This window comes from Homo sapiens, chromosome 12 (genome assembly GCF_000001405.40).
Source record: "Homo sapiens chromosome 12, GRCh38.p14 Primary Assembly".
NCBI classification, from domain to species: Eukaryota; Metazoa; Chordata; class Mammalia; order Primates; family Hominidae; genus Homo; species Homo sapiens.
The window spans coordinates 32,564,500-32,587,223 of record NC_000012.12 but is presented as its reverse complement, the minus strand read 5'-3'; the positions used below and the strand labels follow the sequence as shown (position 1 = coordinate 32,587,223).

The window sequence follows — 22,724 nt, the reverse complement described above, 5'->3', positions numbered from 1 at the left end:
TGCTTCCAGAATTTTTTTTTTTTTTTTTTTTTTTTTGAGAGAGTCTCACCCTGTCATCCAGGCTGGAGTGCAATGGTGCGACCTAGGCTCACTGCAACCTCCACATCCAGAATTCAAGCAATTCGCCTGCCTCAGCCTGCTAGTAGCTGGGACTACAGGTGCTTGCTACTGCGCCCAGCTAATTTTTGTATTTTTAGTAGAGATGGGGTTTCACCATACTGGCCAGGCTGGTCTCGAACTCCTGACCTCAGGTGATCCCCCTACCTTGGCCTCCCAAAGTGCTGGGATTACAGGGGTGAGCCACTGCACCCAGCCCAGAATATTCTATTTTTGTAAGACATCTACACCTGGACTTCCAAGAAGCCCCTCAATTCAGTATTGCAAAATGTAATTTATTTTTTGCCCACAAAATAGGTTCTGCCTTCCATTCTCTTGTAGTTCATGTGCCATCTGCCAATTCATCCAGCCTAGGAGTTGAACCTGACTTAACCCCCACATCTAGCCACAAGGTCCTCAGAATCTTCCTTGTCTCTCACCCTCTGCTTCATCCAGGCCCCCTTCATCTCACACCTGGACTAGTACAGTTGCTTCCTAACCACGTGCCCTGCTCCATCTGTTTTCCCTTTCATCTGACTCATTTTTCAAAAACCCACACATGTGTCATCATGTCACTTCCATGCTTTAATTGTTTCTGAGGCCAGATAATATTAGGCTTATGGAAAGTTTGAATTCATATGGGGGAAATACCTATGTATAACCCAACAAAACAGGATACAGAGTGACCATACATTATGCGATCAAGTATGTTTTTTCAAACAGCTCAGAAAAACAAGCTAGAATATCAAATATCTAAGCAATTCTCACTGGTAGAATTATGGGTGTGGTTTTTGTGTGTATTTTCTGTGCTTTGCCAATTTTCTTCTTTTTCAATGAAAATTGTAAACTTTTAGCAACTTAAAAGGTTTTAAAAACCTTTTAAGATTTTTAAACTTTTTAAACTTCCAAACTTTTAAAAGTCTCTAATGTTTTCAGGAAAAAAATATGTATATTCTTAACAGGCATTCAAAAGCCCATTGCAGTCTGTTCTTAGCTTACTCTTCTAAATCTAGCCTTGTACCTCTGTATTAATTTCTCTAGCCATTCTGACCTCTGATTATGCAGTCAGAAATATTCCTCCAAATGCAGCATCTACAATCTTGCCTCTACTCATTGCTCACACTTTCACTCACCCCCATCCCAGCGTATCTTTGATCTCACCCAGCAATCTCCCATCCTTGCTTCAAGGCTACTTCAACTGCTTCTCAGCAGCCTGGCCCTCAACTAGTACTCCTGGGGCACAACTGCTCCTTCATCTGCATTTCCCTTTTTTTTTTTTTTTTTTTTTTTTTTGAGACAAGGTCTCAGCTCTGTGGCCCAGGTGAGAGTGAAGTAGCAGGATCATAGCTCACTGCTGCCTCGACCTTCTGGGTTCAAGCAATCCTCCCACCTAAGCCTCCCGAGTAGCTGGGACTACAGGCAAGTGCCACCGCACCCAGCGAACTTTTAAATTTTTTGTAGAGATGGGGTTTTGCCCGTTGCCCAGGTTGGTCTCAAACTCCTGGACTCGAGAGATCCTCTGCCGTAGCCTCCCAAAGTGCTGGGATAGCAAGTGTGAGCCACTGCACCTGGCCCAGTCATCTGTATTTCCAAAGCACTTACTGTATCATATTATGTCAATTTGTGTATGTCTCTCACCCCTCAGCAGACTGAGGCTTTGTTGATAGGGCTTGTCTAGTCCATTTCTATGTTGCTGGTGCCCAGGAGAGTGAGACTGGCACACTGAATTTTTTAATTGAACAGTTCAATTTTTTTCACATTTTTCTTTCTTATATTATGAACCTAGTAAACTGAGTAGCCACAAAAAAGAATTTTCTGAGTTCACCGTTCAGTTCTAAGTGAATAAAGAAAAGTTGCCTTTAAGATATACATATATATATATATATATATATATATATATATATAAAATTTTTGAGACAGGGTCTCACTCTGTCACCTAGCCTGGAGCGCTGTGGTGGGATCTCAGCTCACTGCAACCTCTGCCTCCCAGGCTCAAGCGATCTTCCCACCTCAGCCTCCTGAGTAGCTGGTGGTGCATGACACCACACCAGCTAATTTTTTGTATTTTTAGTAGAGATGGGGTTTTGCCACGTTGCTCAGGTTGGTCTCCAACTCCTGGACTCAAGCAATCCACCCACCTCGGCCTTCCAAAGTGCTGGGATTACACAGGTGTGAGCCACCGCACCCGGCTGCTCTCCTTTCTTTCATTCCCTATCCCTTCATTTTCCCACTCCTATGGGCATTTGGGAAATGCCCATCAAATCTAACACAGCTTAAATGAAACACATTTAAGACTATTCTGAAGTAAGTATCTATTTCCACTTCCAGGAAGATTAAAGTTTTTCAGTTGTCTGCATATTGAAATTAAAAATATTCCATTATATCTTAGAAGTTCAACACATTGGACAGCTTAAGCAGCAGCTGATAATCTGGTGTGCTATGCTAACAAGGGAATATACCTATATCACAGCATAACAGAATTAATATATAATCACTGAAATGGGCCTTAAGATTTTTCTTTTTTTTTGGGAGGGGGGGGTTACAACATGAAGATAGGGCCTTAAGATTATATACAGTTTAGATGCTTTCACTAAACACACAAAGAATTATTGACTTGTTCAAGCTCATACTGCTAGTTAATAGACAAGCCAGAAGTAGAATTGAGATTTCTTTGTTCTAATTGTGTGGTCCACTATATTACCATTGACATTTTTATTAATTTCTTTTTCTTAATTGTGGTAAAATATACCTAATAAGATTTACCATCTTAACACTACTGAGATGTATGTTTGCATTTAGGAACAAGGAAAGGCAACATAACAAACATCAGTGCAGCAAAGGTGAACACACTGCCGCAGCACACTTATGAAATCCTAACATTCCATTTTAACAGGAGAGATGTGGTGTTCGCATCAACCGCTCTGCAGAGAAAATTTGCTTTTTCTTCCCACATACAGCATGTGCCATCCACTGTGTAAAGGCCCATTCAGGAGAAAGGCCAGTAGTACTATTCTATGTTTCACTAGTTTAATAGGAAAATTCTATAAAATCTCTCCCAAAGAGGTAAGATTCATCTAAGAAAATGCATCCATAATAATATGTGAAGGGAAGAAAAAGTACCATCCAACAACCATAGGCATCATCACCAATTAGAATATTTTTCTTTGTAAGAACAGCTCTTACTATTTTATATATACTTGTTGGAGGCATCATCCCAACAGTGGCAAAAGATTTTCTTGGTTCTATAACCTTCTCTTCCTTCCATCATGGTTCACGAACAAATAAACTAAAAATCTATCATTGTATTGAGGCATAGGGATTCACTTTGCAATGTCCTGTTTCTTTACTGTTTCAGATAATGTTACCAAGTATGACTCACTTTCTCCCACCCACTTTTTTCTTTAAACTTTGTCTGCTTCAGAGTCAGTATATGTTTCACCAGCAAATCAGCTCTTTCTTAGCTGACATTGTGCATATGAGCAGAAACCCCATCCAGGCAGTTCATCAAATCACTTTCTTCTTTAGAAAGGACAGAAATGTCCAGTTCTCAACAATCCCACCAGCTTATTACCCATGGCTGCTTCATTTATTGACATTTCTTGCATTTAGCCATTTAAGTTTGTGATGTGTTGCTTCAGGGACACAACACTAGCCTGGGAGTCACAGCATGAGGGTTGTGAGCTATTATTCAAAAAACAGCGTGACCTTGAAAAAAAATCATAAGCTTTCTGGGACTATTTCTTCTTCTATAAATGAATTGCTAAACTAAGATTTTTTTTTCCTTGTTTTTTGAGACAGGGTTTCGCTCTGTCACCCTGGCTGGCGTGCAGTGGCACAATCATGGCTCATTACAGCCTTGACCTCCTGGGCTCAAGAAATTCTCCCACCTCAGCCTCCCGAGTAGCTGAGACCACAGGTGCAAACTACCATGCTCTGCTAAGTTTTAAAATTTTTGTAGATATGGGCTCTCACCATGTTGCCCAGACTGGTCTTGAATTACTGGGCTGAGGAATTCTTCCTGCCTTGGCCCCGCAAAGTACTGGGATTACAGCAATCAGCCACCATGCCTGGCTCTAAAATGATTTTTAAATGGCCTTCTAACTCAAAGACTACACCATTTATTATAAAATTGGGTATTAATTAGAAAACTTAAAAAAATTAAAAGCCTAGAGTTATAATCTGTTGAATAATTTAATACTTCCATATTCATGTCCTTAAAAGTAACATTTACTAGTGGCAAGTTCATCTTACAGGCCTATTTATTCTATTAGAAACTTCTGAACAACAAAGATTATACAATTTCTTCTTGCTTGGCCCGTAAGTATTAGGGATACAGCACCAACATCTAGAGCAACAAGGAACATTTTCTTTCTATGTAAAAACAATACATTTGTGGATTTCCTATATTAAAGTTTCCACACTGTTCTGACTCCTGAAATTACAACAGAGATATTAACAGAAACTACATGAAAAGAAAAAGTGAAATATCTGCTTAGAGCATAGGGGAAATGCTAATCAGCAGCCAGAGCTTGAAAATCGTTTAACTGCCAGTGTGGGTGATCTGATTCATACATTTCAGGGGTGCAATAAATAAAGAGTTTTAAGACAACAATCGAATAGGCAGGGTTTTCCCTGCTCATGAGCTAGTCTCATGCTCTACCTTCATCTCATGGTGCTGGTCCAGCTGCTCCAGTTCCAGAGGGCTTTCCCCATTTTCCCTCTCTTGTACCTTGGTTTCTGTTTCTGCCCCTCTTTCTTCTAGGGGGAGCACTGGGCCTATGCCTGGAGTCCTGTAGCTACTGTCAGAAGCATTTCCATCACAGCTGTCTGTTGTGGGTGATGCAGGAGCTGTGGCAGTTTCATCTCTTTCTCCATTCACTATGTGCGTATCAAGCAAGGGTTCAGAAGCTTGAATAGAAGTATCTGAGCTAAGAGTGGCAGCTTTCTCCTCCTCACATTCCATCTGGTTTTGTGCTGCCATTACACCGTTGGCCACACAAGTCTGTGCACCCTGAGTCTTATCTGTATCATTTCCCTGCCTCTGTGGCAAGTGCTGGGAGAGGAGTTTTTGTTGAGGTGTGGTTGTCAATCCATGCCTTCCTGGGGTTCTAGGAGCATTTAGGTTCACAGCAGACTCTTTCTTCAAATCACTATAATTTGATAATGAGCTAAAAGATAAAATACAAAGGAAGCATGAAAACATTGGTATGGAAAAGTTCTAGAATTAAGACAAGTTTATTCCAGTTGAAAAGGGATATTCGCTACTTTTTTTTTCTATCTCTGATGGTTTCAGAAACATGGATTTGAATATTCTTAGTGTAGACCCAAGTCTCTTGGGATGCTATCCACATTTAAATAAAGATTTAAATAAAGAAGATGACCCCGAGTCTACCTATGGGGACTGGAACATTTCCTTGGGCTGTTTATTTTATTTATAACTTATTTATTTATTTTTCAACGCTTAACTTTTCTTGATCCTTGCACTGTTTAATAATGTGACTAGTTAGTAAAGACTTAGTTAGATATAATACTTACGTATTTATCATCTCTTCCTAACATTTTTACTTATTGATGTTTCTTAACATTTTTAAATAGTACAGTGTAGCCAGTCCTTAATTTATGAACAAATTATGAACCAAAGAGTTTTTTATTTGGAAGGCATAATGAATACTCTCAAAACTTTTTTATTCATGCTGCCATACCTTTTTAACTGGTCTCTTTGTTTCCACTCTGATCCCCTCCACTAGAACCTCTACAAGTCAGTCACAAACTCTGAGGGCTTCCTCACACACTCAAGGGAAAACTCAAGTCCCAGTGACAGCCTATGAGATTCTACATACTCTAGTTCCCAAAGTGCATGGCCTCATTAGATTTCATTCTTCCTTAACTCACTGTGTTCTTGCCATACTCCTTGCTGCTCCCATTCTTAATAACCAAGTGTATGTGTCTTGGGGTCTTTGCAGCTGCTGTTCTCTGCTTAGGACAATCTCTCCTAAAACACTGGTATTTCTTCTTATCATTCGGGGTTCTGTTCAGGTATCACATCTCCAAAGAGGCTTTCCTAGATTCATCTATCATAACAGCACTCTCCATCACTAACTCCACATCTGATTTTATTTTTCTTTAAAGTCCTTATTACTGCTTGACATAACAGTAGTCTTAATAGGAGAATGAAACTTACTCCCAACATATAACAATATTCCTGTGGAAATATTTGTACAGATTTTTTTTTTTTTTTTTTGAGACGGAGTCTCACTCTGTCACCCAGGCTGGAGTGCAGTGGCGCAATCTTGGCTCACTGCAAGCTACGCCTCCCGGGTTCACACCATTCTCCTGCCTCAGCCTCCCGAGTAGCTGGGACTACAGGCGCCCGCCACCACGCCCGGCTAATTTTTTGTATTTTTAGTAGAGACGGGGTTTCACCGTGTTAGCCAGGATGGTCTCGATCTCCTGACCTCGTGATCTGCCCGCCTCGGCCTCCCAAAGTGCTGGGATTATAGGCATGAGCCACCGCGCCCGGCCATTTGTACAGATTTTAATCTAGGATTCTGGGAGTGGGGTGGGGAATGGAGCACAAAACTGTGGGCTATACTCTTTGAAAGATTCCTGTGACCTAAACGAGAAGAAATAAAGCAACTAAAACTCGGTGAGGTTGCAGACTTCCTCTCTGCTTTACTCCTACCTCTTAGCGTGGCGCTTGACACAGGGGAAGTACTCAATAAATATTTGATGAACTTTGAATAACCATGATAATGATGATGATTGTGACAATAATAACAGCCAGAAACATTTATTAAGTGCTTACTAAGAACCACAAACTATAAGAAGCCCCTTACAATAATTACCTTGTTTCATCCTCACAATAATTCCAAAGACAGGGATCCCATAGAGAAATCTAGGCTTAGAAATTAAGGTGGCCAATGTCACAATGTAACAAGCAGAAAAGCCAGAGGTCAAACCATGAATCCAACTCTAAATCCCATGGTCTTCACCCCAAGTTATGATGTACTGGAGCAGAAGGACAGAATGAGCATCAGATGAATAGGCTGTAGGCAAAATGAAGGAAGAAAGTCTAGGGTTGATTATCTTCCCCTGTGCAGGTAACGGGATAAAGGGAGGTGGGGAAGGAAACAGCAAGCAGCCTGGTCCCAAGGACAATGCTGAGATGTGTCACCTTTGCTCCCAACCCACCCTTCCCAATCACTGCTGATCTGGACTGGAGAATGAAACAGGGAATAAAAGTAAACAGCAAGAAAGTGATGAGGGAGGAAAAAAGATACAGGTAAAGTCCAACACCAGAGGAAAGAAAGGATAAATTGAGTAGGGGAAAATGTCATATATATAAAAATTGGAGGTGGGCAATACAAATAAATGTTACACACTCTTCAGTTGAGATTTGCCCCCTTGAGGAGGACAACTTTGGCCTGGATAATTTCCCAAGTAGTCTTTAGAGATTTGAATCAAACTGTCCTCCTTCTCCTGCCCACATCAGTCTCTGGATTCCCTGGTGGAAAGATCCTCAACAGATCCTCTGAAACAAATTTAAGCATGTTCAGGTCTTATCTAAAGGATGGCTTTGAATGAGAGCTGCAAATGTCCCATAGTAAGTGATATCAAGGGTATGAGTAGGGAGGGAGAGGAGACGGGGAAGGATAACGTGGGTAAGGAGTTAGTAAAAGCAGTAGTTGAACCAGTACTTGGAAGATTCCTGCTGCTTTGTGGATGCCAAACCATAAGGAGAAAACAGTTGACCTTGGAGTGTCCATGGGAAAAACCAATGTTCCGGCCGGGCACGGTAGCTCACGCCGGTAATCCCAGCACTTTGGGAGGCCAAGGCGGGCAGATCACCTGAGGTCAGGAGTTCGAGCCCAGCCTCAACATGGAGAAACCCCGTCTCTACTAAAAATACAAAATTAGCCAGGCGTGGTGGTGCATGCCTTGTAATCCCAGCTATTCAGGAGGCTGAGGCAGGAAAATTGCTTGAACCTGGGAGGCGGAGGTCATGGTGAGCTGAGATCGTGCCATTGCCCTCCAGCCTGGGCAACAAGAGCAAAACTCTGTCTCAAAAAAAAAAAAAAAAAAAAAAAACCACTAATGTTCAGGTCTGTAGAAACATATTCTTATTTCTAAAATCTTAAAGTGGTTCCTAGGTTAAAAAGAGTACTCTCTCTTAACCTGAAAGAGAGAAAGAAGGAGGAATAGGAGAAAGAAGGAAACCACAGTAAAAATTAAAGAAAATCTACTTGCTCCAAATCTGTCATCTTAACAAACTAGTGCTACGATGTTTTTTTTTTTTTAAGGCAGGGTCCCACTCCGTCGCCCAGGCTGGAGTGCAGTGGCACAATCTCGGCTCACTGCAGCCTTGACCTCCTGGGGCTCAAGCAATCCTTTCACATCAGCCTCCCAAGTAGCTGGGACCACAGGCGTGCACCACCATACCTGGCTAATTTTTGTATTTTTTGTAGAGATACGGTTCTGCCACATTACCCAGGCTGATCTCGAACTCCTGAGCTCAGACAATCCAACCAATGTGGCCTCCCAAAGTGCTGGGATTATAGGCATGAGCCACCGTACCCAGCCGGGTAAGGTCTTAACAACAGTATGATATGACCATTCTGACCAGACTCCACTCTAACAGATGTTGGTTCTTCCTATCAATTTCCTGTGACAACTCAGAGCCTCCCTCTATTTTACAAAGCTAGTCTAAGCTCTCATAAGGAAGGTTAAAAATGAAAACGACCCTTGCAATGGCAAGGATATCACTCAACAGTAAATACAAATCTCCTACTTAAGTCCTATAGATCCAATGCAGTATTAACCCACACAAACACTTTAGTGGCCAGTCTGTAGTGGTAATACCTCACTGAGAACATAACATTGTTTTTTGTATCGGCAGTGGACTCTACCACAAATAATATTTCTTCACCAGACCTGCCAAAACACACTATACCCAATTTGCACTCGGAACAAACTTGCTTAAAAAAAAATCATAAATTATAGCACATTTTTCCTTAGATGAATTAAACCTTCAACCTTTGCATCAAAACAGGATTGAATTTATGAAGCTTGAATGATTAAAAAAACATTAAGTGGAAAAAGTACAAACAGTTCTCATGTAGAGGAATCTAAAACAATGCAGTGGGTTAACCAAAATGGAGAGGATGAGAGGACGCAGCCTTTGGAATACTGACCCTTTCCAGGCTTCAGAGAGTTATCCCTGAAATCTAGGGATGCAGGCTCTGACATGCCTTATGACAGGGATCAGGGCTCCAGCCCCTCCTATTATGCAGTCACTAGGCATGGCCCCTGGAATTTGCAAACATGAGGGGTCACTCTGTTGTTATCAAGTCAATTTACCCTGAGCAGCAAAAAAAAAGTTTTAAATGGAATTAAACCATTCTAAGTAAATATCACTGTAATTCAAGATAGCAAAGGTCCTATAAATCCTACTTCAGAGGAAGAGAGGCTGAAGTTGAAATATTTATGACCAAAGTTCCTACAATGTATCAGGAATGAAAATTGAAGACAGGCTTCTCTCCAGAACTTGTAACTTTGTAAAATAGACGGGGCCTCTGAGTTGTCACAGGAAATTGATAGGAGGAACCAACATCTGTTAGACCCATTTAAAAAATGAGGGACACTGCAGGTTTTGTGCTTGTTCACAATTCCCAGAAGATAATCAAACTATTTCCAAGCTATGATTTCATTACATAAGTAACAGTAAATCCGACAAATAAATAATAAAATCACCCTAATGGTTAACAAGTCCCAAATATTACACTGAAATGAATGAAAATATTTGGTTTCAAGGATGAAATTGAAGTTATACACATTCTGTTTAGTTGTACATAGACTTTTGGTGACAGGTAACAAAATTCTACTGATAAAATTGCTTAAAATTATATTTAAGTCAGTGACAAAATTTCTTTTTATCAAAAGACTAAGAAAAAATAAACAATTGAGAGTTTTATAAGGAGAAAAGCAACTTATGTGGGTTCTGTTTATCTTTAAATGAGAAATATAATATTTCACCTACCTTTGTTTTTTCCAAACATTGGGACTAAAGAATATAAATTATATTTAATAAATACAAAACTGAAATTTAGCATACATTTTGTCATTGGTAATAATATCTCTTTGCAAAACCTAGCATATGATGGAGTATATGGAGAGGGGAAACCGGGACTGAATGGGTATAGAAGACCCACATTAAATAAAATGGGATGGAAAGAAGAGAGGGCCCCAGGGAGGAGACAAGCCCACAGGGGTCACATTCACAAACATACAAAGTGAGAAACGAAGAGACAGAGGCATCCGCTCAGACTTTCCAACCCAGATATTGAGCGTCCCACAGAATGACCCACAAGGAGTAACACATAGAGAATGACACACAGAGATACAGAGGAAACGAGAGAAAGCACACAGATACCAAAGCACACAATTTCATGAAAAAGCTGGTGGCCTACAGTACTGTACCTAGCTAATACATAGTAAATGACAGTTCATATTAGGGTAAGATTAAGTCATTCGTTTTAAAAATTCACCCTTTCTGAAGGCCTACCAAACCTAATGGAATAAGATATTATGCTTTTTATTTAGAATGTATCTATGACTATCATTTTTTCGAAAATCAGCTTTCTTCTTCTCCTGCCTTCTCCCATTGTAAATTAGCTCTTACCTGCCTCCTTCAAAGCGACTGATGAGATCTGATACCTTACTGGGTTTTTCTTTTGAGACACAAGAAGCAGAGGCAGGTTTAATTTCCTCCATCCTTGGTTTTGCACTAGGTAAAGCTTTATGCCTGGGGGTTTGGTGTATATTGGACGAAGGTGAATTCTGCAGGTGTAATGGCTTTGGAGGCACTGTAGAAAAAGAATAGAATATAGTATTTCACTGATATTTTGTTCAATAACAATAAAAATTCTGGTGTCCTGGGTGCAAAAATATTCAGCATTATAAAATTATTGTAAAGGGGGCAGGTGTCAAATTTTGAACTAAACCATAACCAAAAGACTTTTGTTCATTTTGGACATTTGCTTCATGCCTTGTGGAAATCCCATCTCCAAACTTAAGTGGTTCTTTTAATTTTATTGCATCTTAAATATGGCAATATTAAACACCTAGGAATCCACATAAGGCTAAAGCATTCTAAGGTCTATTACAGATAACACAGCAGTTATTCATCTCAACAGGGAAAAGGTGATGCTAAATTTAAAACTAAATCCTAGAGATACATTGTCTGCTACAAAACAGGTTTTCTAATAGTTATAGTTGATATACCAGAATCCACAGCTAATAAGTTAAACAACATAAAAGCCAACAAAACAACAACAAACAACAGTAATACAATGTTGCATTAATATAGCATCTTCTTCCCATTTAACAAAAGCACTTTATCTCATTTGATCTTTGATGAAATTTTATACTTTATAGTTCTCTCAGGTAGGTACTACTATTCTCTTCTTATGTCTATGAAGGCTTAGAGAGGTTTAGTGACTGACCTGGGGTAACAGAGTTGGTGCTACAGGCTTGGATATTTGTCCCCTCCAAACATCATGTTGAAATCTGGTCCCCAATGTTGGAGGTGGGAACTATAGGAGGGGTTTGAGTCATGTGTGCAGATCCCTCACGTATGGCTTGGTACAATTCTTGCCATAGTGAATAGGTTCTTGCTCCATTAGTTCCTCCAAGACTGGTTATTAAAAAGAGCCTGAAACCTCCCCCTTCTCTCTCTTGCTTCCTCTGTCTCCGTGTGATCTTTATACATGCCAGCTACCCTTTATCTTCTGCCATGAATGGAAGCAGCCTGAGGCTCTCACCAGAAGTCAAGCAGATGGTGGCACTGTGCTTCCTGTACAGCCTGCAGAACTGTGAGCCCAATAAGCCTCTTCATAAATTACCCAGCTTCGGGTATTCCCATATAACAACACTAAACAGCTTAAGATGGTTGGCCTGCATCAATATACCACAAATCATCTACTTTCTTCATAAGTCCTTCAATCAATTAATAGGATAAATAAAGATCATTTCATGAAATACTAAAATCTACAGAGTTTCCCTAACACACTGTAGATGATAAAATAATATGCCGTAAGTGCACAATCAGTAAAGAAATTACTTCATTTTTGAAAACCAGTATTACTTTTCTCTAAGATTAACATTCAGGGTAAAATACTATATAACATGTAGTATTTTTAAATAAGCAGTGTTGACAGATCAAATAGAATCATCTTTTTTCTTCCTTAAATCCTTTTCTTACCTTCTGGAAGAAGGGTGAGGAGTCATGTCGCCTCCTAATTACATGCCTCATTTTCCCCCAGCTGGTTCCCCTGGTTTTTAGTGATCTCATCTCTTTTATAAACTCAGTTAGCTGACAGTTGGCTCATGCTCACTGGCCTAGATCTCATCATTTCAGTGCCAGTTATCAATTTATTATAGGGAAGGAAAGAAATGTCACAATGAACTACAAGTGGAGCAATTAATTCACTTAATTCTCTTTCAATACAAACAATAAGAAAATCTCAATTTAAAAATGGCATGCTTCTTTTGTGAAAATGATATTTTCCAACATATGTTTGGGGGAGTGATTAACATAGTATTATCTGGGAACAATGGGGCTTATATAAGTGTAATATTTGTTAATTTTACAGAAAAAAACTTCTGTGTAGAATAAGTATGTACTAATGTAGCAAAACAGGAAAATCTCCCACCAAAAAACCCTTTTAACATTATGAGTAGTAAATATGAACTAATGCAGTAAAACAGGAAAATCTCCCACCCAAAAAAAAAAAAAAAACACTTAAGGTTATGAATAATTCAACATTCTTAGCTAGAATACTAAAGGAAGTGAATATAATTTTGTGTGCTAAAATTGTTATGAAATAACTCATTCATCTACCTAGAGTTTACTCACTTAAACATGCCTTATTTATTATGTGCCAGATGAGAGAAAAACTAAAATACAATGATACCCATCACTTTCTCAGGGATGACTCTACCCACTTTCCCAATCTAAATTGTGTCCACCTCTTAAACTGTTTCATAAGCACTGTGTGCTTTCTCCAAATTGCTTATCACAATTTGTGGCATAATTATTAAATAATTAGTAATGAGTACGATTAAATAATAAAGCTGCAGTAAAATAGTAAATATATTATGAATTTAAAGGTTTTTTTTCCTCCACAAGGCAGGAATTGATGAAGGTAAGGAATATATTACTTTTGATCACAGCTATATTTATAGTGTCTATTTGCATTATGTTTGGCAAATGTTTGGAACATTATACTTAGTGTGTCATCAAGGAGATCATATACTAGTGGAGAGGCACTTTAATGATGTTGATAAAAGTGAACACTGGGTACACAGGTATTTTAGAAGCACAGAGGAGGTATCAAATTCAGCAAGGGAGAAAATGTAAATGTACAGTAAATCAGTAAATATACACATTTTAAATAAAAAAGAACAAATGATACATGGATATGACAAATCTGAAGATGATACATGAATGACTAAAGTTAGACACACTGTCTTAGAAAAAATTCTATCACTTGTTCATCATTTATAATGTAATAAAAGTAACAGATACTTTGCCTCAAAATACCTAACTGATGAATGAAAATGATTCTTTCAACTCCCAAAGTTATGGAGTTAACTGAGGAATATCTAACGCAGGACTAAAAGAAAAAGAAATCTTGTATGCTATGTACTTACGACGCAAAAAAAATCCAATACCAGGCCAGGGGCGGCGGCTCACGCCTGTAATCCCAGCACTTTGGGAGGCCAAGGCGGGCGGATCATGAGGTCAGGAGATCGAGACCAACCTGGCTAACACGGTGAAACCTCGTCTCTACTAAAAATACAAAAAATTAGCCGGGTTTGGTGGCGGGCGCTTGTAGTCCCAGCTACTCGGGAGGCTGAAGCAGGAGAATGGCGTGAACCCGGGAGGCGGAGCTTCCAGTGAGCCGAGATCGCGCCACTGCACTCCAGCCTGTGCGACAGAGTGAAACTCCCGTCTCAAAAAAAAAATCCAATTCCAGTTAAAAACCAGGATCTCATGTTTCAGTCTAATAGTCTGTACCCAGAGGAAATGACAACAGATGGTAGAAGCAACCCAGGAATTGATACTTCAAATTATTGAGACTAAATTTCTCTTCATGGCCACCTTTCTTAGCTTCTGGGCAACCAAACAAATTGCAGCCAACGGCCTTTATATCTCTTGTATGTTTTTGTTCTGCTAATCTGTTGTTATGTCAGTTTAATTGATAGGTCCAGCTGGAGACCTAAAAGGTAATTAAACTGACATAAACACATATACAAGATCACAAATTAGAAAGGACCAGTAAATCCTTTGCATAGCAACATAATCCAGATTATGAAGACTATATTATAAAACTAAAAAGAAAATAAAAATCAAGGGCTAAAGAAATTACAATTTTATCAAATAGACAATTATTCACTTTTAAAAAGATTTCCCAAATTAGTTATGTAAGAAGGGAAAAGATTATAAATTGTAGGCAATATTCTAAGGATGCAGTTTATTATCAGTCTCTATTGGCATTACAGACGATGAGAATGGAAAACCCTAAAGTTCCGATTCCTCCTCTTCTTGGTATTTCAATTATTTATTTATTTAGATTTTTTTCCCTTTCATCAGATAAATATTAATTCTAGAGATCAATAGTGTGACATTTAAAACTAGCAAAATCATTTCCAGATTTGTGTTTCACACTCTGAGAACAGTGTAGTATGCAAACACAGTCTTTCCCTACTTGATTGTTAAGCTCCCTAGAGCAAGTAAGCTTTTCAGGTAAAAGGTGCCCTGAATCCAATATACCTACTATAACATTTACTTAGCTGAATAAGATCAGCTAAGTACAATTCTGCTAGGATATGAACAACTGCAGAATCATGTTGTAAGAACCTTATTATATATCTAGAGCTAAATGAAAACAACATGTCTATTGGAAAGCCACCACAGTAGGTTCATTTTCTTTTCTATTTTATCTTTTATGCGTGTGTGTGTATGTATGTGTGTGTGTAAACATACATACACACACGCACGCACACAGATGGTCTTGCTCTGTCACACAGGCTGGAGTGCACTGGTGCAATCATATCTCATTGTAACCTCAAACTCCTGGGCATAAGTGATCCTACATCTCAGTCTCCAGAGTAGCTGGGATTACAGGTGACAGCCACCCCTCCTGGCTTCATTTTCTTTTGAAATAGATTTCTTGGGAACTTTCTTACTGCTTGGCTCATCTCTACTCTCCCACCCCCTATGCAGCCTAGATTCCAGCCACACTGAATTGCATCTTCCATTGTAAGCTTGGTAAGGTTTTTTCAGGCCTTCAGGCTTTGGCGCATACCTAGAATGGTCCACTTGGCAAAATCCCCTAATTCCCACAAGGCTCACCTCAGTCATCAACTTTTTAAGAAGGCTTATCTGACTCTTCCACCTCTTGCCCTCCTACCCTGCCTCAAAAATCTTCAAATATCTTCTCAACTAACATTTGTCATTTTGTTTTATAATATTTTACAACCAGGGTTGCCTCCCTAGACTTTTGAGTTCCTTGATTAACAGGAAATGAATCTCATCTTTGTTTCAGCTCAATACTTCTTGTAACCCATGATTATAGGTTAACATTCAACTCTTTTTTTCTTTTTTTTTTTTGAGACAGAATCTCACTCTGTCACCCAGGCTGGAGGGTAGTGGTGCAATCTCAGCTCACTGCAACCTCCGCCTTCCAGGTTCAAGTGATTCTTGTGCCTCAGCCTCAAGAGTAGCTGGGATTACAGGAACCTGCCACCACACCCAGTTAAGTTTTGTACTTTTAGTAGAGACAGGGTTTTGCCATGTTGGCCAGGTTGGCCTCAAACTCCCGACCTCAGGTGATCCGCCTGCCTCAGCCTCCCAAAGTGCAAGGATTACAGGCGTGAGCCACCGTGCCCAGCCACATTCAACTCTTAAGGAAAATCACTATTTCATAAAACAAATTCATATTTAATCTTACTGCTCCTATCAAAGACTGAAAAAGTAACACACAGCTACTTTGAGAAGTAAATGACTAGAAAATGATTTAAAAACACACGAAAGAACCCGACCTGTGAAAGCACTTTGTACTTGCACAAGATTAACATATATGAGACGTCTATTTTTAAGATAACCATATAACATCTATGTGAAATTTTGTGGCAGGATACAAAGTTTCAAAATATAAGAATGCCCTTCATCTGCCCCCTTCTTTGTTCTGCCATCCTTGGCTCTTCTACAAGGCCCTGTGAAGAACTGGATCTTACAGACCCAGATAAGACTTTTGTATTATCTGGAATTATTTTGTATTATTTTGTATTATAAGGAAGAAAGGAATAACAATCAGAATAAAAAACTGAGGCACGATGTCTCATGCCTGTAATCCTAGCACTTTGGGAGGCCGAGGCAGGTGGCTCACCTGAGGTCAGGAGTTCGAGACCAGCCTGAACAACATGGCGAAACCCCACGCTACTAAAAATACAAAAATTAGCCGGGCGTGGTGGCACATGCCTGTAATCCCAGCTACTTGGGAGGCTGAGGCAGGAGAATCGCTTGAACCTGGGAGGTGGAGGTTGCTGTGAGCTGAGATCATGCCACTACACTCCAGCCTGGGCAATAGACAGCCTGCCTCAAAAAAAAATTAAATACATAAGTAAATAAATAAATAAATAAACTCCTATGCACTATTAACTAAAAGACCTAACAGTCCAAAGGATATAGACAGGAAAAATGGTGTTCACCCTCACTTATTAGTATTTCAGGGAAATACAAATTAAATCCATAAGCTGACACCATTTCAGTCAAATCAGATTGACTAGAATTTTAGCATTTCTTTTTTTTTTTTTTTTTTTTTTGAGACAGCGTCTTGCCCCATCGCCCAGGCTGGAGTGCAATGGCGCGATCTCAGCTCACTGCAACCTCCACCTCCTGGGTTCAAGAAATTCTGCTGCCTCAAACTCCCAAATAGTTGGGATTACAGGTACGCACCACCCACGACTGGCTAATTTTTTGTATCTTTAGTAGATGGGGTTTCACCATGTTGGCCAGGCTGGTCTCGAACTCCTGACCTCGTGATCCGCCCACCTCGGCCTCCCAAAGTGCTGGGATTACAGGCGTGAGCCACCACGCCCAGCTTGACCAGAATTTTAAATCTGACAATACCAAGTGTCAGTGAAGATATGAAGCAATGTGAACACAACATTTTTGATGACAGTATAAATTTATAAAACCACTAAGAATTCAGCATTTAGAAAATATATATCCTAGAACAATTCTTATACCTCTATATAGGGTGTTTATTTTCACTTTTTCATTAATTAAATGAATACTTATTGAATATCTACTAGGTTCTAGCCACTTGAGCCTATCAATGAGCAAAGGAAAAATGAACAAAAAAATAGCAAGTAAATCATTTATCGGAAGGAGGTAAGTGCTAGGAGAAAACGTGGTGAGGGCTAAAAGAACAAGATAAATACCATCCAGGGTGTGGGAAGTCAAAGGGAGGGCAGATTTCAGTCTTAAACAGGGTGTTCAAAGTCAGGCCTCCGTGAAAAGCTGGGATTTGAGTAAGCCTTGAAGTGGAAGGAACTGTTTGGGGAAGGGCTTTCCAGCAGATGGAATGACAGCCAGGGACAGCTGGGGTCTGGAGGCCAGCAGGATTGGAGCAGAATGGGCATGTGGACAAAAGTAGTGCATAGGGAGGCCTGAGAAAGTAGACTCTGGACCACTTATTTTGACTTTGCATGAAATGAGAAGTCCCTGCAGGGTTCTGGGCTGAAATGTAACATGATATAACTTAACTTTCAGCAGGATCACTCTGGGAGCTGTGTTGAGAATGTAGAGGAAAACAGGGGAGAAGCAGGGTGGACAATTAAGAGGATATTATAGAAATTCAGGCAAGAGATCACAGTGCTTAGGAAAAGGTAGTGAGAGATACTTGGATTCTAGGTAAATTTTTAAAGTAGATTTCCTGATAAGATTAAATTAGACATATGAGAGAAAGAGAGGGGAGGCAAGGATGACTCTGAAGCCTTGGGTCTCAACTACCAGAAGGATGGAACGATGGTCAAGTGACATAGCAGGCAGAGCAATTTTTGGAGAGGAGAATAGCAGTTAGCAGTTCAGTTTCATATACACTAAATTTGAGATCTCTATCAGACTGTAAATAAGATGGGTTTTATTACACCCAAATTTATAGATGTAAATAGGAAAAAAAATTGATCATTCAAAGTAATTATCTAGAATGAAAAGAAACCAATTGCCAGTTTAAGTCAGTAGTCTTCAATTACTCTTCTTTTTGAAAACAGAAACAACAAAAGCTGGCTATGTATAAATGCATTATAACATTACACTTTTAAAAGAATGGATCATTATACATAGATTTTTACTTTAGAAGCAAATGAATAGGTTTAAGTACTCTATATTTATGTAAGTTACTCAAACAACAATGTGGCTCTTTAAAGCATTTAATGATTGAGATATTATGTGACAATTTGCACTTTATAAAAATAATCAGGAACTATGGAGAATGTTCTGGATAGAAGCTGTTAAGAGAAAAAGAACTATTAACTTTAATTACTAAAGGAGCTATTTTGAGTCACTGTCTAGCATGGCAGGAAACAGGCCAGTATTAAAAGCGGTGAACAAGAAGAAAGACTTATGCTGGAGGTTGCTCAGTAATTTGTTTGACTATTAGGATTGGTATGAAGTGAATAAGCCATTGTTTCCAAGGCCTTAGGGTATTTTCTGAGGCTGAGGCAAAACAAGCTCTAATTATGAAACAAATCCATTTCAAAATCTACATATTCCAATTTGGATCCAAATGCAAGTTTATCCAATCTCTAATCTAAAATTTATCTTTCTTTCTTTCTGCTGATTTTGAAATAGCAAAGGGCTGCCATTCTGGTCATTCCTTTTTCAGGTTTAAAATAAAATAAAACTTAGCTCATTCACCTTTTAAAAACCTATAAATAATTCTTCAAAAATATTTACTTACTGGTAATTAATAAACACAAAAACGTAAACCATATATTGTTCCAGAGACATTACTACATAATCACCACTAATAAAGATGTGCAATACTTTCCCCTTTTAAAATTACCACAATAGGCTGGGCACAGTGGCTCATGCCTGTAATCCCAGCACTTTGGAAGGCCAAGGCAGGCAGATCACCTGAGGTCAGGAGTTTGAGACCAGCCTTGCCAACATGGTAAAACCCAGGTTCTAACAAAAAATACAAAAATTATCTGGGCGTTGTGGTACATTCCTGTAGTCCAGCTACTGAGGAGGCTGAAGTGGGAGAATCACTCAAACCTGGGAAGGGGAGGCCGCAGTGAGCCAAGATCACACCACTGCACTCCAGCCTGGGTGACAGAATAAAACCCTCTCTCTCAAAAAAAAAAAAAAAAAGCCCACAATAAATTGTGACTATAATCTTCTTAGCAATCTACATAAGGAAAAAAAGATATAATTACGTGCTTATTTTTATCTAGGTGAGAGTTTTGCAAATGCAGCAACTGATATTATAGTTTGTACGAATTCTTTGTTGTGGACTGTCCCGTGCATTGCAGGATGTAGAGCAACAGCCCTACCCTGCACTCACTGGCTGCAAGTAGCAACTCCCACAAGCAGTGTCAAGCAGAAATGTCCCCAGATACTACCAATGTCCTATTGTCGGGGGAGGATATGCAAGTGTGGGCAAAACTGTCTCCGCTTGAGAACTACTCACCTAGAATAAGAGTCCTAAATTAAACTAAAACAACATAGTGTTGTGGGTAGCAACTATCCGGGGCTGGTGGTGTTGGCAGTAAAGGAATTTACCAAGACAGTTGTAGGTAGAGAAAGGCATATTTATTACACAAAGTATGAAAATAACACTGCAAGAAAGCAACAGGCAGATCAGCAAGACAGGAGCTGACTACAAAGAGACAAAGGCTTCCTGGGGATTTTATAGGATGGTGCTTGTGCTGGAGAGGGCTACATGCAGTACTGATAATGCCAGTGCCAAGGTTGCAGTGAGCTAACTTTCATTTTTCTATCAGCCACAGTGTCTGGTGATAAGTGCAGGAAGATTGTGAGTTATTTGCACAGGAGGGCTACACGCCCTGGACCAGGAAGAAAGGCAGACTTAACAGTTTATCTGCTTTTTCTTTCTGCTTTCCCCTGCTCCTGCCAGCCTGACTCCACTTCCCTTGTTAGGACCACACACATAGTGACCTTGAAGTCCCAGCAACCTCACCATTCACAACTTGTAAGGGATTTGCAGTGAGGCAGGAACAAAGGTGTCGGGGGTGATAATTCCTTGGTCCATGCAGTAGGTCCCTATTAACACCCCCTTCTCTTCTCTGCCTCCATCACCCAAATGTTAGGAGAAATTAAAATCAGCTTCTCTCCACTAAAGAGTAAGAAACACTCATTACTGGGTACTGTTGATTGACTTACTGACCAATCTATGTGGCAGCTCATCTGACAATACTAAGATGTAGCCTCGTTTCAGGGACGTTGGTCCCTGCATGGCGCATGTTCAAAGTTTTAAAGAATAGCAGAAACAAAGGGGAAGAAATGCAGCAATATAGCAGTGTTATTGAAGACTGGTTATGTACTATGTGAGCGGACACATAGGCAGAAAAAACTGAGCTGATGAGTAAAACATACAGCAGGTCAGGTTGTAATGAATGAGAAAAAATAAAGTTCATACGGAGTGCTGTGGTCTGAGTGTTTGTTTGTGTCCCAAAATTCATGTTGCCATCCTCATTCCCAAGGTGACAATATGAAGAGGTGGGGCCTTTGGGAGGTGAGTAGGTCATGAGGACTGAGCTCTCATTAGTCAAATTAGTGCCATTGAAAAGAGGCCCCAGAGAGACCTCTCACCCCTTCCACCCTGTGAGGTTATAGTGAAAAGATGGCCATCTATGGACCACAAAGCAGGCCCTCATTACACTCTGAATCTGATCTTGGACCCACCTGTGGACCAGAAAGCAAGCCCTCATCAGACCCTGAATCTGATCTTGGACTTTCAGATCACAAAACTGTGAGAACTACATTTCTATTGTTTATAAGCTACCCAATTTATGGTATTTTGTTACAGCAGCCTGAACAGACTACAACATAGGGAAATATAAAAGGGCAGGGTGAAAGGTGAGGTTAAAATTTTAGCCATGGGTATCAGGGAAAGGCCAAACACTGCCTGAAAGTATTTTGAAAAAGAAGTATAAAGTACTCCATGATTTATTTAATATCTGCAAATATTCCCTTTAGTTAGAAAAGTATATATACATAATTAGCCCATATTTAACATAGGAAGTAAATATGTATTTAAATAACTATATCGTGGCTTTAATATAACTACACAACAGCAAAAGCAAGGTTAAGTGTTGTCTACTTAAAAAGGGGATTATTTTGGCACATGCAACTCAGAAAGGACACTCTTATATCTCTCAATACACTGACGTTGGAAAACAACGAAGTATTGCACTGCATCTTCCAAAAATAAAGGCTTTTTAAGTAATGAAATTCTTCCTTTGATCAGGAAAATTACAACTACAATTGTATTCATTATTAATATTCTTACCTCACACTGGATCTTTGTCAACTCGGGTCTAATGGGCGAAATGGAATTTTATATTTTGGAAATAAAAAGGCTTAAATCATGGTCAAAAAAAGTCCTATGTTTATATTCACGTCAATGCTATAAGGGAGCAGTGTAGTCAAAAGAAATGGTTGTAAGCTCATGAATAGGCTACTCATCTGAATCATCAATTATCTGACCTTGCTTGATAGTGATATTCCATACCACCACAAATATAATTGTAGTGAGAACAAGACAAATATCCCATAATCTAGAAGATTCATTTTAAACTCGTTCTAAAATTTTCTTTCAGAAATCCTTAAAACATACAACTTTAAGGAATAACACCACTTATTTTATAATGCATGCTCTAGAATACATTTTTCTTTGCAAGAACAGGAAAGAGAACTAAGTAAACACAAAATAAATAAAAATAGAAACTGATTTTTCCCAACTGTAGTAATTCTGACAATGCCCAGTATTATTTCTCATATCTGTTTAGCATTCACTATAAATGAAAATCTGTAAGGAAGAAACTACACATTAAACTGTAGGGTAGCTTAGCTTTTGTGTTCCATTTCAAAAGGCCTTGCTCTCTATCATCAAAACTATAATTCTGTGCTTCTCAAAGTTAATACCCAGTTCACTGGAAATTTCTTTGTAAAAGGAAATGGTCACTGAAAAAAATCATTCAAGCTTCCTACCATTATGGCTTTTTCTTTACCCTCACTGGCCACTCAATCCTGAATGAAGGGCTGTTACTGTTCCTTTCTGCGGAAGACCTTACTATCAGGTGTTTTCATGCCCTACCTCCTTAATATTTTCAAGTCACATGCTTGATAAGTACACGAAGTGCTGTTTTAGAATTATGTTTTACAGATACTGACATCTAGCAAATCATTTCTTTCTAACAGTAGCTCCAAACACATTTATTACACAGACAGTAAGTCCCTGTACTAGATCAGGCATAATAAAGAGATCACAGTTCCGTTAAGATGACATGCAAACAATTTCAGCAACATGAAAAGA

At 39.3% G+C, this 22,724-nt stretch overlaps 1 protein-coding gene across 24 annotated transcripts in view, besides 1 other annotated feature; it reads right to left on the bottom strand.

Moving 5' to 3' along the window:
• The window catches only part of FGD4 (FYVE, RhoGEF and PH domain containing 4), a 246,493-nt gene that overhangs the window by 58,827 nt on the left and 164,942 nt on the right, over nt 1-22,724 (bottom strand). For 12 of the 24 annotated variants that reach the window (XR_001748576.2, NM_001370298.3, NM_001384126.1 and 9 more), the window contains 2 exons: nt 10,775-10,958; nt 4,757-5,264 (listed from right to left, as the gene is read on the bottom strand). The exons of 2 other annotated variants lie outside the window; for them this stretch is intronic. Coding sequence is in view for 18 of the 22 variants with exons in the window: in NM_001370298.3 (NP_001357227.2) it covers nt 4,757-5,264; nt 10,775-10,958 (692 nt within the window). In the remaining 4 variants the exon portion in view is untranslated. 10 more of the 24 variants (NM_001330374.2, NM_001330373.2, NM_001384130.1 and 7 more) reach the window with 7 other exon arrangements.
• Nucleotides 20,093-20,594: an enhancer, noted in NCBI's record as "NANOG hESC enhancer chr12:32719564-32720065 (GRCh37/hg19 assembly coordinates)". NCBI's record gives its function as "activates a minimal SCP1, AML or CMV promoter by ChIP-STARR-seq in naive H9 embryonic stem cells {active_cell/tissue: H9 hESC(naive)}" and the evidence as "EXISTENCE:reporter gene assay evidence [ECO:0000049][PMID:30033119]".